This window comes from Homo sapiens, chromosome 6, assembly GCF_000001405.40.
Source record: "Homo sapiens chromosome 6, GRCh38.p14 Primary Assembly".
Lineage (NCBI taxonomy): Eukaryota > Metazoa > Chordata > Mammalia > Primates > Hominidae > Homo > Homo sapiens.
In genome coordinates this window covers 17,599,583-17,618,265 of record NC_000006.12, presented here as the reverse complement: position 1 = coordinate 17,618,265, position 18,683 = coordinate 17,599,583, and the positions used below count along the sequence as shown (strand labels likewise).

General features: G+C 40.6%; 2 protein-coding genes across 4 annotated transcripts in view, besides 5 other annotated features; one reads left to right on the top strand and one right to left on the bottom strand.

The window, feature by feature from the left end:
- NUP153 (nucleoporin 153) overlaps positions 1-3,229 on the top strand; it is a 91,889-nt gene extending 88,660 nt beyond the window's left edge. For all 3 annotated transcript variants that reach the window (NM_001278210.2, NM_005124.4, NM_001278209.2), the window contains 2 exons: positions 1,571-1,739; positions 2,085-3,229. In NM_001278210.2, coding sequence (NP_001265139.1) covers positions 1,571-1,739; positions 2,085-2,169 — 254 coding nt within the window. In that variant the 3' untranslated portion in view covers positions 2,170-3,229. The remainder of the gene's footprint in view (positions 1-1,570; positions 1,740-2,084) is intronic.
- Positions 6,082-6,282: a silencer, noted in NCBI's record as "peak5703 fragment used in MPRA reporter construct". NCBI's record gives its function as "represses an SCP1 promoter by STARR-seq MPRAs in K562 erythroleukemia cells {active_cell/tissue: K562}" and the evidence as "EXISTENCE:reporter gene assay evidence [ECO:0000049][PMID:32103011]".
- Positions 6,551-17,964, bottom strand: FAM8A1 (family with sequence similarity 8 member A1). Its single transcript, NM_016255.3, has 5 exons — positions 17,145-17,964; positions 15,556-15,676; positions 13,237-13,360; positions 12,253-12,392; positions 6,551-10,071 (listed from the first exon to the last, which is right to left on the bottom strand). Exons 1-5 carry the CDS (start codon positions 17,854-17,856, stop codon positions 9,927-9,929), a joined length of 1,242 nt encoding a protein of 413 aa, NP_057339.1. The 5' UTR covers positions 17,857-17,964; the 3' UTR covers positions 6,551-9,926.
- Positions 7,442-7,642: a silencer, noted in NCBI's record as "peak5701 fragment used in MPRA reporter construct". NCBI's record gives its function as "represses an SCP1 promoter by STARR-seq MPRAs in K562 erythroleukemia cells {active_cell/tissue: K562}" and the evidence as "EXISTENCE:reporter gene assay evidence [ECO:0000049][PMID:32103011]".
- Positions 15,558-16,058: an enhancer, noted in NCBI's record as "H3K4me1 hESC enhancer chr6:17602439-17602939 (GRCh37/hg19 assembly coordinates)". NCBI's record gives its function as "activates a minimal SCP1, AML or CMV promoter by ChIP-STARR-seq in naive H9 embryonic stem cells {active_cell/tissue: H9 hESC(naive)}" and the evidence as "EXISTENCE:reporter gene assay evidence [ECO:0000049][PMID:30033119]".
- Positions 16,059-16,559: an enhancer, noted in NCBI's record as "H3K4me1 hESC enhancer chr6:17601938-17602438 (GRCh37/hg19 assembly coordinates)". NCBI's record gives its function as "activates a minimal SCP1, AML or CMV promoter by ChIP-STARR-seq in naive H9 embryonic stem cells {active_cell/tissue: H9 hESC(naive)}" and the evidence as "EXISTENCE:reporter gene assay evidence [ECO:0000049][PMID:30033119]".
- Positions 17,626-18,105: a silencer, noted in NCBI's record as "silent region_16964". NCBI's record gives its function as "represses an Ori minimal core promoter by ATAC-STARR-seq in GM12878 lymphoblastoid cells {active_cell/tissue: GM12878}" and the evidence as "EXISTENCE:reporter gene assay evidence [ECO:0000049][PMID:35858748]".

Sequence of the window (18,683 nt, the reverse complement as noted above, 5' to 3'; positions counted from 1 at the left end):
ACTTAAATCCTTTCTACATTGATAGGGCTTACAGATCTTGAATTTCATTGTAGATTTATCTGGTTTATCTAGCATTATTTTACTTGGGAAAGTTTGGATGTTAGTATCCTTCATTCTTTTCACTTAGTCTGTCAGATACCCCAAAGAAGATGCATCCAGTCTCCTGCATGGAGGGTATCAGAGAACTTCATTTGCCAGTGTTCTGGGAGCTAAGATTGGGAAGATGGCTGGAGCGCTCGGTATTTTGTGAATATCGAGCTACACTTAATTCCTGTTTTCAAAATGATATTCTTGCCCTTAACTGTATGTGGTGTCTCCCAGTCCAGACACTTCTACAAAGACTAAAACACTAAACTTCTGTTCTGGTGCGGTGGAAGAGGAGAATTACCATCTTTTTTTTCTTTTTTTTTCTTTTCCTTCTGAGATAGGGTCTCACTCTGTTTCCCAGGCTGGAAGGCAGTGGCAGAGTCAGGGCACACTGCGTCCTCGACCTCCTAGGCTCAGAAGATCTTCCCACCTCAGCCTCCTGAGTAGCTGGGATTACAGGTGCACGCCACTACGCCTGGCTAATTTTGAAAAATTTTTTATAGAGATAGGATCTCGCCATGTTGCCTAGGTTGTTCTCAAACTCCTGGGCTCAAGCAGTCCACCTGCCTTGGCCTCCCAAAGTGCTAGGATTATACGCATGAGTCACTGCACCCACTGATAATTACCATCTTTGTGTTGGTGTTGGGAGGGATTGATTCTGGGTATCTGCTTCTAAACATACTCTGCCATCCTTTTTTTTTTTTTTTTTTTTTAATTCCCACTACATCCTCACTTCCATAGGTATCTGGAACCTAAACATTTTGGGTATGTTTGGTGTAAATGCAATTGCTTCTGTTCTTTCCCTACTGCTCGTTTAGTATCAACTCTAGTCAGCCTTCCAGCTTCTAAACCTATATCTTTGTAAAAATCCCTTGTTGTTTTAATGCACTTTTCAAAGAAGATAGAGCTAAGTGTATTTGTTGATTTCACTGTCTTTAACCATAAGTCCAGGGTGCCCTTTTCCCCTTGGTCATAGGTAAGTTGTGTGATTTGTTGGAGGTGTCAAGTATGTACTATGTGTCAGTGGAGAAAATAGTTTTCTTTAGATTAAAAGACCAGAATATTTTAATTCTTTGCATGTTTTTATATGTAAAGGTCAGAGTCTTTAATTTAAAAACCTATCATGTTGCGGCCGGGTGCAGTGGCTTACGCCTGTAATCCAGCACTTTGGGAGGCCGAGGTGGACAGATCACAAGGTCAGGAGATCGAGACCATCCTGGCCAACATGGTGAAACCACGTCTCTACTAAAATACAAAAAATTAGCCAGGCATGGTGGCACGCACCTATATAGTCCCAGCTACTGGGGAGGCTGAGGCAGGGGAATCACTTGAACCCAGGAGGCAAGGGTTGCAGTGAGCCAAGATTGTGCCACTGTACTCCAGCCTGGGCAAGAGAGCGAGACTCCGTCTCAAAAAACAAACAAACAAACAAAAAAACCTATCATTTTGCCCTAATGAAGTATTTCTGCTTTAACTATTGCAGGTTCGGCTTTCCAGTTTGGCAGCAGCACTACAAATTTCAACTTCACAAACAACAGTCCATCAGGAGTGTTCACATTTGGTGCAAATTCTAGCACACCTGCAGCCTCAGCCCAGCCTTCAGGCTCGGGGGGCTTTCCATTTAACCAGTCTCCAGCAGCATTTACAGTGGGGTAAGAGAATTTTTTATTGAAATGGAGAAGTTACATTGGTAAGGGTATGTGCATGTATATGTTTTGTTTTTAAAAGTCATCAAGATTCCGTATGGTTTGGGTAAAATTAAATATGTTCTCCAACATAAATTTACCATACTATAATTCTGGAGGATTATATTACAGTTTGAGAAAAAAATAACAGTAGCGTGTGTGTTAGGTGTAGCAGAAAATGTATATACCAATGTGAGTCTACTCCCCCCCCACCCGACCCCCCTTACCCTTGTGCTGCTCATGGTAAATGTTAGCATTTGGAAATTTTGCTCAGAGCATCATGTCACATTATGAAGTTTTTATTTTTCACAGGTCAAATGGGAAAAATGTGTTCTCTTCTTCTGGAACTTCATTCTCTGGTCGCAAGATAAAGACTGCTGTTAGACGCAGGAAATAAAGGTCACATTGGTGTTGTACTCAATTTTAACAACAGCTGGTGCCCTGCTTTCAGATACTGGATTGTACTTTGTGCTGGGGTTATCTGAAGTCAGATCTGCCTAAGGACTTCTTTAATTTTGGAATTTTCCTCCTTTCTCTTTCGTTACAGAAGCCCCACCCTGCCTCACCCACCCTTTTTTAAATAAATAAATAGCTAGACTGGTGACTGATTCTTCAGCAAAAATATTTTATGATCCAGCAGATTATTCACTGATTTGACATAGTCTGGCTGTACCCAGGAATGGAGCCTGCACGGTGAATGGCTTTGTATAGAACCTCTTTGTCTACACCATTATGTGCGCTGATAAGCGTTCATGGAACGCGTTGAAATTGTAATTATATCTGAGGAATTCTGTATAGATTAGAATTCTGTATAGATTAGAGAGTGTTGAAACGGATGATTTCTATGCTGAGTTTGTGCTGGTGTATGTGTGAAGTGAGTGAGTTGGGTGTATTGTGCGCTAAACTTTTCTGATAGAGGAAGCCTGATTAAAGAATGGTCCGTGCTAAGGACTTGTTAGATCTAGTTCACTCTCCATTTAATAATTATATGCTATTTCTATATTTTCATTCTCCTATCACCTGTCTTGCCTTTTTCATTATTTTATTATGAAACTTGTGTAAATACAATTTTGTTTCTGTACTTTTTGGCATAACATAAATCTGTGAACTTGAAATTTGAATTTTGTGTTAGAGATTTTTTTGTTGTTTGTTTAGTCTTGTCTCAGATTTTATTATGTAAATCCCATTATTCAAAGTTGCCTAAATCCATTTGGAAATCTTTAAAAAAAAAATTGGGGATTCTTAAAGTTGAATTTATTGGCTTTTCTGATCCAGTTTTGTTTGGACCAAAAACCAGTATTGTACAAAGTATTAAGCATATATTTTTATATTTACTAAAATGGACTGTGGTGACTTTGGATAATAAGGAAAAGTTTAATATTAAAGCCATGTTTATTACAGTATAATTAACATGTTAAACCATGGGATAAATGCCATCAATAAAAAATTATGACATACTTTTTGTTCTAGTTTTACCTCATAATGAAGGCACACAGTATTATTGGGGGGACTTTGTAAAATAAAGATTAACAGTGTCTCATTAGAAGAATACATTGACATGATTTAGACAACTCCTAAGAGAAAGGGAAAGTATCTGAAAGTATCTGAATGCACAACATATAGAAGGTACCCTACTTCTTGCCTGGTGCTAGGAATCATGCCTAATTTGCATATCGACTTAGGTACCTTTTTTAAAAGTTGAAAATACACACATTCATTTCTCTTTGTGCTTCTATCTTCCTTGGTAAGTTACTGGATAGTGTTTATTAAAGTTCTTGGAAATACATACACAAAAACTACAGTTGTCTCTTGGTGTGTGCAGGAGATTGTTCCCAGAACTGCACTCCCCCCCCCCCCCAGTTCTCCCGCCCCCAAACCACAATCCACAAATTTCAGCAGTGGACCCTGCAGAACCTGAGTATACCAAAAGCCAGCCCTCCGAATGTGCAGGTTTTATATCCCACGAATACTGTGTTTTTGATCTGTTTTTGGTTGAGTTAAAAAAAAAAAAAAAACCCGTGATAAGTGGGCCCACGGTTCAAACCCGGGTTGTTCAAGGGTCAGCTGCACTTTCTTTTGTATTATTTTACTGCATTCTTTTTTTTTTTTTTAAACTGGATTCCCATGGTCCATAAAAGAGCTCTTGGAACAATATTTGGTAATTTTATTTTTCAGTTGGAAATGTACAGTTATTTAAATTGTGCTCAGTTTTAATTTACTGAACTTCTGGTTGGTTGGAGTTTATGTTTTTCCAAGACGGAGTCTTGCTCTGTCGCCCAGGCTGGAGTGCAGTGGTGCGGTCTCAGCTCACTGCAACCTCTGCCTCCTGGGTTCAAGCAATTCTCCTGCCTCAGCCTCCTAAGTAGCTGTGATTACAGGCGCCCGCCACCATGCCCGGCTAATTTTTTGTGTGTATTTTTAGTAGAGACACGGTTTCACCATGTTGGCCAGGCTGGTCTGGAACTCTTGACCTTGTGATCCACCCGCCTCAGCCTCCCAAAGTGCTGGGATTACAGGCGTGAGCCACCGCGCCTGGCCTGGTTGCAGTTTAAATTTAGAACTCAAGGTATTTTTCTTACTTGAGATATTTTAGTCCATCATCAAATGCTGGTTGGGGGTAGAAATTTTGCTTTATTAGCAGTATACATTTGACACCTGTTGAGGGGGCAAAATGTGATGAATACTGGAAGAGGTAACTGGGAATTTGTGTCTTACTGCTGAGAAGTTAATTCTTACTTTGAAGGTTCTTAGCCATTCTCTAGGCCCCTATCGCTGAAGTGTTCTGCTTTTCTCTAAAAATTGCAAGAAATGATGTTTACTTTTATTTAGTACTGTTTAAAACTCACTAAAACCATACTTAATCTGTTTGTTAAAAATGGAATCTTTAGCCCCCAACCTGATTAGTCTATAGAACTGCACTCAGAACTTGGGGCTTTTTTCAGTCTGACTACTTTATTTCTTGGGAACCTCCGCCTTTTGGGTTCAAGCGATTCTCCTGCCTCAGCCTCCTGAGTAGCTGGGACTACAGGTGTGCTCCACCACACCTGGCCAGTTTTTGTATTTTTAGTAGACAGAGGGTTTCGCCATGTTGGCCAGGCTGGTCTCGACCTCCTGACCTCGTGATCCGCCTGCCTTGGCCTCCCAAAATGCTGGGATTACAGGCGTGAGCCACATGCCCAACCTTGCTTTGGGTTGTATACTGCATACACAAGTGAAAATTGAGGATATTTATGGATGGCAGGGAAACAAATGTTGGAAAGAAAGTAATAAAAGCCCATACTTCTTATGCTGGGCCAATGAGTAATGAAGATAGATTGCCAGGGTCTCCCTCTGTCACCCAGGCTGGAATGCAGTGGTGCTGTCATAGCTCACTGCAGCCTTCAACTCCTAAGCTCAAGCCATCTTCCTGCCTCAGCCTTCAGAGTAGCTGGGGACTACAGGTATGTGCCACCATGCTAAGATTTTTATTTTTTATAGAGACAGGGTCTTGGTATGATCCTCTTGCCTTCTAACATGCTGCAATTACAGGTGTAAGCTACCAAACCCAGCCAGGAATTGTTTTTAATGAAAAAGAATCTCTAAGGGAGGAAAGTCATGTTCAGAAAGTTTAATTGAATAATTAAGTAGGTGTTTTTATAATTTGGTCGATTGACGAGAGGACTGGTGGCTCTCACTGAATGTACCGTTAGTAGTAGTTGGCAGGGTATGTCAAATATATGTTCTAGGACCCCCATCACCAGAAACTGGGACTGGATAGGTTCCAAAAGTCTGCATCATCAAATAAGCACCTGGCAGACTGATGCACTGAGGTTTGGGGGTGTCACTTTAAGCAAAGTGCTAGGTGGTTTTGAGTAATTACGATTCCGGGCATTGAGAAAAAGGTACGGTTCAGACCACTGAAAAATGTCTTTAAGCTGCCTATTAATACTTGTTACAAATTCTCCTCTGAAATTACTTGTTTATCTAATTATTATTTTATTACTTGAAATTAGTTATTGAACTAATTTTAACAACATATAACCAGGCCATATGCTGGTTAAGCCTGGAAAGAACTTTTCAATTGGAAAGTATTATTTTACTTTGGAAAAGTAAAATACAATGGAAATTTTATAGTGGTTATTTTAGCCGGTGCATTTAATGGAAACTGACAAAAATTTGGTCTAGTAAAATTGAGAAAATGGAGGTAGTAGGTCTAGCTACACGCATCAGCTGTATGACCATGTCGGTCAGAGACTTCCTTTTGTAATATAGGGCACCTTTGTAAACTTGTCTCAAAAATCTACTGTAGTTCTAAAACAAGTTTGTGGCTAGGCTCATAACAGCAGCACATTGTCTACAGGACTTGGACCATCTTTTAGCTACAGTCTAGTTTATCCTTTATTATCTTTGCCCCTGTTGAGTGAGGAACCCGTTGTTTTGCTTCCTGCCTTCTCTCTGGACCTGTTCATAAAAGTTGTTAGAATGGGAAAGGCTTTTAAGGTCAGAACTGGGTTTAAATTGCCCAGATGAGACTTGTGTGGTGGTTGTGATGGTTAACAACTCTTGAAGGACTGGATTAGTTTAATAGTAAGCTTAATTCATGTACAGGTAACTTCTGAGTGTGCCTGCTAAAAGAATATATCCTTAAAGATGGGCGATTCTTTTTTCATAGATCTCTATTTCTGAAAGCATTCTAGTTTACTGCTAAACCCACTGGAAAACCTGTATTTGGAGGCAAGGTCTCCCTAAGCAGATTCTAGAGCAAACTGTCTCAAAGAAATAGACAAAATACAGATGCATTGATGACTAAGTATTTATTGAGACAAATAATACAAATTGGTGGCATACAAATTATTAAAAATAGAATGCTGAATTTTATTTATAGGTGGGCCATCAGATACTGTTTACAGGTTAAGCCTTACTATAATGAACTGCAAAGAAGTATGTATACTGTTTGAAATGAGGAACTTTATCCAGGCAAACATGGGATGTCAAGAGTGGCCTGTGGTACTGGAGACAAGGAATATCAAGTAATTGACATGTTACTTGTCTGTCAGATTTTAAGAATACTGTTATTTAGGCATATTCAAAGAAACAACTGCCTGTTTTAATAGGGATAAGTATATAACGAAAACATTTAATATCCATACCCCCCTCAAAAAGCCCTTTATTCCCAAGTAGCAACTAGTGTAAATTAATTTTCAATTCCTTTCTACCCTTCCTTTGCTAGAAATACTTATGCATAACTAAAACACTCAAGTCACTGAAGGGAACAAATCCTTTTACTGTCACTTGAATCTAAAAACACTCATTTTGTAATTTGGGCGAAGTAGCTCTCAAATATAATGCATTTTTTTCTATCCTATATATATACTTGGGTAAAATCGGAAGGTGAGTGCTTAGGCAGAAATAAGTAACTATTAAACCAGTGGGAGCAAAGTTCAGTTGGGCAATACTCTTTATGATACTGACAAGTGAAGGCTTATTAGTTCCAAAAGTGCTGGCTTTATTTCTGTAGTCACAGAGTAGTCTAAAGGTAAGGCTTACCCAGCTCTTGGCTCCCAAGTTAATGTTATTTATTCAGTATGCCAGATTTTTCTCAAGGTGCATTAGCTACTCAGGATAATTTTACTGGTGGGAACTGAGATTTTCTAGACGCCTAAATTAACTGCCAATTCTGGTTTATCTTAGGGACATGCTCATTGAAACAGTATTCTCACTCAGCTTGAATACTAAATTTTGTTCCCTTATTGTTAAAGTGATGAATATGTTTGTACAATGAAGACAACTTTCTTTTGGCTTTTTAGGCTACAGCTTCAGCATGAGAATTATACTTTGACACAGAAAATCAGGTCTATAAGTGAAATATAATAAAGTGTTCTGGAAAGCAGGAGACTACCTTACAACCCCAAGAGAAAAATATGTGGCACTAAGGTCTGGTTCCTTCTTCCCTCGTTGTTTTGTCATTTTTTTCCAAACTTTGGGAATCAAAATCTCGGTGCAAATACTGAATTCATAAATTGAAACAGACTCTTGGGTTCTATTATGAAGGCAAATAATACTTCTATGTATTTTGTAGGGTTATACAGTATAATACCTCGAATCCATGGTTGGATCTGACTGAACCTACATAGATACTAATCTGAATAACTCATATATAGAAAATGTGCAATATTCTAAGTACAAAAAATTAAACTGGACTAGTTTGCTTTTGTTTTATAGTATAAATGAAAATAATCTCGATGGCAAACTATTCAATTATCTGAGCAGAAATTATGAATGAAAGATGTATTCCAGACCTATATGATTGAGGGACATTTCAACTTGAATTCCCCAGCGGCAAAAGTGGTGTATAAACTAATGCTAGTGTATACACTACTAAAGTGCCAAGTTACGTAACATCTCCTAATTTTAAAAATGAAAGATTTTTCTTTTTTTCACTGTGAAGGGCAGTAACACAATCTTCCCCATGGGTGCAACTGAATGATTTATTTAGTACATTGATGTACTTAATTATTAGTGTTTCTGGGAAGCTGGATTTGACATAAACTTATTTTGAAAAACACGGTTTATGAAATTTTGTACTAAAATTATTAATAGACATTAAGTTTCTATAATCAAATGTGAATATCTGTTGTCACAGTTTTAAACGTCAAAGAAAAACCTTTGAAAATTAATATAGTGATAATAGATATGTGCTGTGTTTGCTGTTAAATTTAAGACCAAGAACACCACCTAGATTGATCCCTTAAGTAATCAAATTTTGAACTGTGCAATGCAGTTTAGTGTGTCTTTGGAAAACAATGTCAGAGCTGGAGAAAATACCTAAGAATCAAAACTTAAACCATAAATAGTACAGGTATATCTCAGCACAGCTAACTGGGACATCTAGGAAAAGCACACACACATAATAAAACCCCACAATTTTGCTTCAACAGAAGAATAAAGCAAAATGGCAACATACACAGTATCACTTTGCGTAACATTTCCCCCCAAACTTTAGCAGACCCAAAATGAGCTTAAAGACCCTAGAATGATGTCTGGGAATGCTAGTCTCTCTTGCTTTAGAGAGAATAGTCCATAATGGGAAAATTGCTAATATTTCGCAAGCTATTAATTAATAGTACTTAGAGTTAATCATGAAATATTAAGATTTTTTTAACTCCTTGATGTTTCAACAGTCATAGAACTATATAAAATATAAGGAAAGTAGTATGTGAATATGCTGTATATAAATAGAATTTACACTGAGAACACTGAGAAGCACTAATACTTTCTTCATGCTGCACACATACTGGGAATACTTTTACAGTAAATATGCAACTGTTTGATGGAGGTGATTTCTCCCCACATTTATAGTTTGATTCAGGGCACTGAAAACACTTGCACATAAATTATAAGTTCAATTTACAGTGAAAACTTACTCCCCCACCATTAACAGTAATCACTAACTTACCTTTTAAAAAAAAAAACCAATTAACATAGCAATATGACTTGATACTTTTTCATCATCATGAGAAACTTGCCCCTAAATACATGTTCAAGCATTAAGAATAGTTGTAAAGTTACATCATTACGAGAGGGAACTGCAGTATGGATTTGAAAACTTCAGGTAAGGGAACTGCTAGGCCTGCCTCACTTGTCCCTTTCTCTTGTAGCCAACTCACCACCTCCTGGGATGGGAGACAGTGGATTATCCAATTTGTGTTCTCATTCCCTCCTCTAAACACCAAAGACAATTTCCCCAGGAAGTGTAAACTAAAAGATGAGTTACATAGGTGTTTACAAAACACAACTGGACATTTTCCATTATTTTGGGATAAACCAAAATAAATTTTAAAGTTTCATTTGGAGATTTCAAAGCTGAAAATGCTTTCAGCAAATTCTTAGATCTTAAGAAAGTACCTTAGATCTTAAGAAAGTATATATTGTCCATTGTTTATAAAATCATTTGCCTTTTTGATCTAAAAATTTTAATACTTGAATTTAACAGGTTTTTCTTCTGGACAAGTTCTTTGGCATTCAAGTATAATCAATACTTTCAGAGTAGTCACCTGCATCACACTGGAGTGACTGCTTTAATTTCTAAATCATCAATTAGTGTAACCCAGGGATACTGATGGCCTTGATACATAATTTAGTCTTAGTGTGTGGAAATCAGGGTTTTGGGGGGCATCATCTGACCCCATTTCTTTTTACCACAATGGTTCCTGCTACAATGTCATAAGCTGTTCGATTATGCTGAAAAAACAGCAGTGTGATGAAAGCAGGGAAAAAAGAAGCAATTGAAAAATTCTTGATCAAAGCTCGGATAGTGGACCTAAAAAGTTAAAACAAAAATATCAGGTAAGTTACACATCAAACCACATATAGATTAATGGTATCCCATCAAGTTCAAAATAGACATTTAAAACACAATTGTACTTCTCTACAGAAGTCTACAGGGAAAAAGACATTCAAGGTATAGTTGAGAGAATTTTTACCTTTGATATATTTTCAAGTAGCACTGTATCATGATCAAACCACCTGGGCTATTTCTAATAAGACTTCAACAACATAAAAAGCAGTAATAAACATGTCTCAGAATATTGAATTAATGGTTTACAGAGCTTTCTAGTATTTTCTCAGAAGAAATGAACATTAATTCTGAGTACTTTCTGAGTATGCTTACTGTAGTCCCATTTGTCTACCTTATAGAAAAAACATGCATTTTAAAGTACTGTGTGTTCTTTAATCAGCATTTTCCTTTGTGGGATCCAGTGATTAAGCAAAGCTTTTAAAAGCTTTCAACAATCACTCAGGATGGAGAATTATCCTACTTATGTTAGATTTCTGCCTTTTAGTGCACTGAAGGGCTGCAGAAAAGTACAGTGGCTAGGAGTGTGGGTTCTGAATCCAGACTAGTTAAATTCAGATCCATCGTCTACCAATTACTAGTTGTATTCCACATCTGCAAAAAGGGAACAATAGTATCTATCTTATGATACTATAGATAGTATATAGATACTACCTATAGTATATAGATACTACCTATAGTATATAGATAGAGACTACCTATAGTATCTTATGATACTATAGATATAGATCAATAGTCTCTATCTTATGAGGTTGTTAGCATTAAATTAATACATATGCAGTGTTATTAACAGTGCAGGTATATAAAAAGTACTCAATAAACATTAGCCATTACTGACTCTTATTAAAAGAAGTAGGTAGGTTTATAACTACCAGTTTTGTTTTGTTTTTTTTTTTTTTTGAGATGGAGTCTTGCTCTGTCGCCCAGGTTGGAGTGCAGTGGTGCAATCTCAGCTCACTGCAAGCTCTGCCTCCCGGGTTCATGCCATTCTCCTGCCTCAGCCTCCTGAGTAGCTGGGACTACAGGGCCCGCCACCACGCCCGGCTAATTTTTTGTATTTTTAGTAGAGACGGGGTTTCACCATGTTAGCCAGGATGGTCTCGATCTCCTGACCTCGTGATCTGCCCACCTCAGCCTCACAAAGTGCTGGGATTACAGGCGTGAGCCACTGTGCCCGGCTATAACTACCAAATTTTAAGAAAAATTTGAAGATGGCAAAACCAAGGTTTCTAGAATCACTTGTTTATATTTCTTGATGTAACAATCCAGCTCTGAATCATTCTGGCAAAAATTGCAGCCAATACCTTGTTTGGCTCAACTGACTACCAGCCACTGACCTCCACAGTTTCCATTATCACTGGTTGTACCTTCCCCCAGCGCTAGATGCCAACAGCTAACCTTGAATACTGGCAGTATTACAAGCTCTCACCTAACAGCAGGAGAAGGATGCACGAATGCATAGCTGTCAAAACTCTGCTGCCTATTCAAGATGGAATAATGACAGGCATGGCCAAATGGAGACTCAAGGCAGACTAGTACCTGACCTAACATCCACAGGTCCAAAGAATAATAAAGCTGATTGTGGAGCACTAATACACCATCAACACCCAAATCATCCTCTCGTATTGTGACTTATAATTCATAAAATGATCATCTTGAGGCAGGGCATGGTGGCTCACGTCTGTAATCCCAACACTTTGAGAGGCGGAGGCGGGTGGATCATGAGGTCAGGAGATCAAGACCATCCTGGTTAACACGGTGAAACCCCGTCCCTACTAAAAATACAAAAAATTAGCCGGGCGTGGTGGCGGGCACCTGTAGTCCCACCTACTCGGGAGGCTGAGGCAGGAGAATGGCGTGAACCTGGGAGGCGGAGCCTGCAGTGAGCCGAGACTGTGCCACTGCACTCCAGCCTGGGCAACAGAGTGAGACTCCGTCTCACAAAAAAAAAAAAAAAAAAATCATCTTGAAAATGTGTACTGTAAAAGAGGTCTACAATCATGTAACACAACTGAAATAAATATTCAAACTTTGTTTTAACTTAATAAATATAAGCCTATCTACTATGAAGAAAAAAACCCCAATATTCTAAAACACATTATTTTCATTAAGTATGTAGTAGATTAAGCTAAGAAAAGGACTTACGTTGTAATGCTAACATTTGAGGAAGGAATCACTAAAACCCGACTTGGTGCAATAAGCACTGATGTATCACATGTCACAACTCGAAGCCCCAGCAGGAACTTCCCTGGGGTAGCTCCACCTGCTCCCCAAATGCAAATTATCTAAGGAAAGAAGGATGATTTAAAAATTACTGGCTCAACTATACCAATTTTAAAGATAAACTTTTCCCACCATATTATTTCATGTTTTAAATTTTTCAAGTTGAAAGAATTGCATAGAATACTCAAAAGTTAACCATTTAACTTTATGCATTTCTGTAGGTCTCTAACATGTCCAATACCACAAGATGTCTGTCTCCTGTAATATTTCTCTATGACTACTATACTTTCTAGTAAGCTGCTTCTGCAGAAAACTACATTGCAATTTACAAGTATATTTTTGGACCACAATCTATAAGTGAAATTTTATTTGAGTTTCTAAGACTGAAAAATATTACAAAGAAATTGTAAAATGTCTCTCTTCCAAAAGTTTTTACTTAATGATTAGTTAAAATTTGGGAAAAAAAACAGAAAAGTAGACATGTGGAAAAGACATGAATAATTATAAATTTCGATTACTTTTTCGTCTTGGGCTGATAATCTAAAATTAGATTGTTGGCTAGGTGCAGTGGCTCATGCCTGTAATCCCAGCACTTTGGGAGGCCAAGGTGGGCAGATCACTGAGGCCAGGAGTTTGAGACCAGCCTGGCCTACATGGCAAAACCCTGTCTCTACTAAAAATACAAAAATTAGCCAGGTGTGGTGGTATGCACCTGTAGTCCCACCTACTCAGGAGGCTGAGACAGGAGAATCACTTGAACTCAGGAGGCAGAGGTTGCAGTGAGCCAAGATCACACCACTGCACTCCAGCCTGGGTGACAGAGCGAGACTCTGTCTCAAAAAAATAAATGTAAAAACATAAAATTAGATTGTTAAATATTAATTCTTGCTGAAGTCAGTAGCTTACCTCATAGAAACAAACTAATAATCTGTATATAAGTGCCACAACCATCATTTTCTGCAAGTCTTCCATTGATGTGTCTTCATCTATTTCTTCTATTATATAATGCATAGCAAACTTAGAGATATCCCTACACAAAATAATAGTTTGGGGTTATAAATAATTAGTTACCAGAACAGTAGCACTGACTTTTTTTTCATTAGTGCAAGTCATACATTTTAATTGAAATTCTAAACTAATCTTTAGATTCCCAACCATCTAGTATCATAAAGCATTCATTAGTTTATTCAACAAATAAGCAGCATTATCATGAGCAGACACTGTACTAGCACGGGGGAAATAAGGGTGAATGAATTTACACGGTCCCTGCTTTCGTGGAGGGTCTAACCTAGCAAAGAAAACAGAACAATAAATAAATAGCAATAATAAAGTGGGATGAGTGCTGTGATGGGGAACCTAGGATACTATGGAAACATACACCAGATACACTTAACCTTGTGAAGGTTTCCCAGAAAAGACAGTTAGATGAGGCTCTGAAGGATGAAGAGAAGTTAGCCAGACTAAGAAGAGGAAATAACGTTCCAGAAAGAGGGAACAGCAGGAGAGAATGTCTTGGAGAAAGAGAGAATATGATAGAAGCTGTAAGCAGTTTGGTGTGGCTCATATACTAAATGTGAGAGGTGGCAGTGATTAAGAAATAAAGGCAGGGTGTGGTGGTATGCACCTGCAGTCCCACCTACTTGGGAGGTTGAGACAGCCTCCTGAGTATAAACCACATGATGAAATTCAGACTTTATCCTGCTGGTAAAGAGAAACCATTGAAGGGGCTGAGCATGGTGGCTCACGCATGTAATCCCAGCACTTTGGGAGGCTGAGGTGGGAGGATCGCCTGAGCCTAGGATTTTGAAAGCAACCTGGGCAACACAGACCCCATCTCTAAAAAAACAATAAACATTTTAAAAAGAGAAACCATTGAAGGGTTTTAAGGTAGGAAAGGAACAGAACCAGGATTTATGATCACTTTGGTTTTATATCAGAGACTGGATTGAGATAAAACAGGAGACTGAGTTACCACTAGAAGGCTTCTGCTATAATCCAAGCAAGAGACGACAGTAATCGGAGTAGGGAGAAGCAATGATGATAAAAAATGGGCCAGGTGTGGTGGCTCATGCTTGTAATCTCAGCACTTTGGGAAGCTAAGGCAGGAGGATCATTTGAGCCCAGGAGTTTGAGACCAGCCTGGGCAACATAGGGAGACCCCATCTCTACAAAAAACAATTTTTTTTTTTAATTAGCTAGGCATGGTGGAGCATGCCTGTGGTCCCAGCTCCTTGTGAGGCTGAGGTGGGAGTGTCACTTGGGCACAGGAGATCAAGGCTGCAGTGAGCCATAATTGTACTACTGCACTCCAGCCTGGGTGACAGAGCAAGACTCTGTCTCAAAAAAAGAAAAATGATCTGGCAGTGAGGAGGTCTGGGGTTGAAAGCTATTCAGAAAATTGAACATAAAGGAGTTGGTATTTCACTGGATGTGGAGTGGAGTGAGAGGGAGGGACAGGGAGGAATCACAGTAACAGGTTTCTGGCAAGGACCCTGAAATTTGACTGCACAGGCTTGTATCTTGACTCTGTCACTTACTACCTTTGTAACATTTTAGGTTCTGTGCTCAACTTTTCATAAACCCAAATTTCAAACTCTATAAAATGGTGGTATTAATCTCTACACCTCATCTTGGTATTAAGATTAAATAAGAATCCACATAAAGAAGTGAGCAAGCTCAATACATGGCATATAGAAAGTACTCAGGAAGTGGTAACTGCTATTATGATTATTGTTAATCTGGAAGGATTACTCAAATAAACGTCTCACTTTGAAGTTCACTTGGGACTTGCCCCACAGTATGTGCAATCCCATTTGGAAATGCCATCTAGTTGATTATTAATTCACCTACCAAAAGCTCTTTATACCTTTGTCTTTAGAGACTCCACAAGATAGCAAGAGGGAACAGGATAGTGAGAGGTAAATTAGTTCCTGGCCTAAAAGAATAGGTGAATAAAATCAAAGCAGGTTTGGAGGCTCTTTTTACCTATTTTTGATAGGTGAGATTCCCACACATCTTATAGAATTCAGTAAGCTATTTTTTTTCCTTTCTAGTTATTTCTTAAAATCAACAAGAAAACAATAAATCTAACAAAGCTCTTATAAAGAAATCATGACACTGACAAGCCCATTATCCATATAGTCACGTGTAGACAAACAGAATGTAATAAAACAAGATCATTAAACAGTAGAAATTAAAACCCTTCTGCAAATGTCCTCAACTTACTTTATCCCACTGAGGTGCATAATGCTTAAGACAATGGTTGCTTTTATAAAGAAGAGAATAAAGAAATCCACCATCTCTGCCATAAATCTGTGGGCCAAGGATGGAATAACATATTCTCTGCCTGTAAATTAAAAAAAAAAAAAAGTTAGGAAAAACGAATCATTTCACATAAGCCTTGGAACACAAGCCATGTAATGAATTGCTAAAGAAAGTCAAGGTACAACTTAATAAAAAATATTTATAACCGTGCAGCAACTATTGATATTGATTCCACCAAGAATCCATGTTACTAAAATAGAGTAACAGAGAATCCACTATTTACTGAGCTTAAAGTTTGCTTTCATCACCTTAACGTTTAAAAATTGATTTCACACGGCCAGGTGCAGTGACTCACGTCTGTAATCCCAGCACTTTAGGAGGCCGAGGCGGGCAGATTGCTTGAGGCCAGGAGTTCGAGACCAGTCTGGCCCTGGCCAACATGGCGAAACCCCGTCTCAACAAAAAATACAAAAATTAGCCGGGCGTGGTGGCGCATGCCTTTAGTCCCAGCTACTAGGGAAGCTGAGGTGGCAGGACGGCTTGAACCTGGGAGGCGGAGGCTGCAGGGAGCCAAGATCGCCACTGCACTATCCAGGCTGGGCGATAGAAGCAGACCTTGTCCCCACCCTCCCCACTTTCCCCCTAGAAAACTGATTTCACAGATAAATTTGATTAGGGTACCCACTACATTTCACTAGGAATTCTAATGAGGAGAATCCAGGTGATCACATCTAAGTCACACAAAATTAAACATTTTTTAGTACAAATCAAGGTTAAATATTGGCAATTAGTATAAAGTAAATCCCTGTAATCCCCCCCCACCCGTTTTTTAGTTTGTTTTGCTTTCTTTAAAATAAACCCAGTGAGTATCAATCTGTCATCCTAAATTCTGACTGGGATCAGAGGCATCAACTAGTTCTTGTCCCATCTATCTGTGGCTAACTAAAATAAACTAAAAGTCTAATAGTTTAAATAGTAAACTAAGAAGTGTAACTAATTCAAAATATTCTAGTTCACACACAGAAGCAAAAACAATTACACAATATACAAGATATTGATCAAATGAAGTGAAGCTTTGACCCAATCAAAACTTCCTAACTCCACTTGTATCCATGTCGATCTCCTTTTATATCCGTTCAGTTCCACTGTCCTAAGTAGCCAATGTCTGAATAATTTTCAGCATTACCAGTCGAGCCCCTCCAAAAGTGGGTTTGCCATTTGCGAATTTAGCTTTGGCCCTCACTGCAGAGCGTGAAAACCAAAGGAAGAGGATGGTTTGAAGAGCAATTTCTTTTCACGAATAAACAACTAGTCCCATGAGTAAGGGAGTCAATTTGGAGTGCCAGGTCTAAAGGAAGAAGAAACTGTATTGCCTCCTTGTACATTTTGGGAATTTAGGGCCTGGACAAACGATAGCTAGTGAACTGAACGGGCAGGATAGTCAATCAGAGTAGAAGCAGCAGTTACAGGTCTAAAAAGCGTGCCAGCTCTACCCCACAGGCCCCCGAAAACCCTTCTACTCCGCCCAGCCTCCACCTCGCGCTTCTCACCTGCCTGTCGCCCGGTCTCGCTCGGGCTTCGCGAAGGGGCTGCGGATCCTACCCTCGTCACTGGAGTGGCCCGGACCGACGCCTGCACGTGAGGAGCCCGGGGTCCCAGGCCCGCGACTGGAGCAGGGGTGCTGATGCCGGCAGCTGTCCGCGGGTCAGGCCCCGCGGCCCCGGGGCTCAGGAAGTAGAAGGGGTTGTAATAGCCCAGCTGCGGGGGCGGCGGCGCCGCGGCCTGGGGGACTGCAGCGCCGCCCGAAGGGAAGCTCTGCGGGGAGGGCTGGGGGCTGCAGTAGGCTGGGAAGGCGGCCAGGCCGCTGTGCCAGGTGAGGTAGCCGCAGTAGGACTGCCACAGCCACTCGTGCACTTGCCGGGAGTACTCGCGGGCGCTCAGCCGAGCTGGTCTCTCTCGTGGCGCCGCGGCTTCGGGCGCCTCGCAGCCCGCCTGCTCCTGCAGCTCTGCACCGGAGCCGGAGGCCGCCTCCCCGCGCTTCCTGAGCTCGCGCGGCGGCTCCAATTTGTCGGCTGCGGCGGCAGCCGCGAGGCCCGGGGCTGTGGGCCGGCCCGGGGCCTGGGGTTCGGCCTGGGGGTCGTCGCGGGGGCATGGGACGGCGGTGGTAGGAGGGCCTCTCAGGGAAGGGACGGGCTCGTGGTCCCCTCCGCCATCGTCCTGCCCGGGAGGGTGGCCTCGGGCTTCCTCGGGCCCCTCGGCCATCGTCGCCTCAGCAGCACCCTCTGGGATACCTGTCACTGCTCCGTTTCCCTCCCCCAATGGCCCCTCCCCAACAGCCCCGTCACCACCGCAGCAACCGCAGGCGTCAACAATCCCCCGCCGGAAGCGGAAGCCCCGCCCCTCAGGAGCAACGCCCGCCGCCAGGCGGAGCTGGGAAGGGAGGGCGGGGAGGTGCGTCTGCAGTCCCGGGTTCGGGCCCTAGTAGTCGGTGGCTGGTCGGTGACTGGGACCAGACCGTCGCCTCCTCCCTTTTACAGCTTTAAGTCTGTGACCCGAGGCCTCTCTGTATATTCCCGTGGGGTTGGGCCTAGTTGTCCTGGGAGAAACTAGATGGATGAGGAGTATTTCCGAGACAGGTCCCAGGGCCAGCGCAGCCTTTTCTGTTGCAGAACCGCGACTGTTGTTTTGGGATCCAGGCCGGAGGGTTTGTTGCTTGTGTTCATTCCAGTTAACCATTAGTACTCGAGAAGGTGGTACAGAACGCATCTATCCCCTTAGAAGAAAAGAAATTAAAAGCCAAACTAAACTGGGATATATATTAATATAGGAAACTACCACTGAGACATAGGAAAGTGTATTAAAATATAACTAGTGAGGTGCTATGTATAATTCAGAGGAAGGGGAAATTATGCATGGGCCAGACTACTAACAAAAGGCTCCAAAGCCTGGGATACGCTGAGGGCCTTTCCATAACAGAAAATGAAAAGGAACCTAAATTTGAGACTAGATTTGAGGAAAGGCACAGTTGCGCTGGAGTAGAAAGCGTCTGTCTACCGCAGTGGAAAGTAAGTTTTCGTAAATGCAGACTA

Coding starts and splice junctions, on each gene's coding strand:
- FAM8A1 (NM_016255.3), bottom strand. CDS start 17,856: ATGGCCGAGGGGCCCGAGGAAGCCCGAGGCCACCCTCCCGGGCAGGAC. Junction 15,677..17,144: donor CGAGACCGGGCGACAGGCAG/GTGAGAAGCGCG, acceptor TTTAATTTACAG/GCAGAGAATATGTTATTCCA. Junction 12,393..13,236: donor TATTAGTTTGTTTCTATGAG/GTAAGCTACTGA, acceptor TTCTTTCCTTAG/ATAATTTGCATTTGGGGAGC.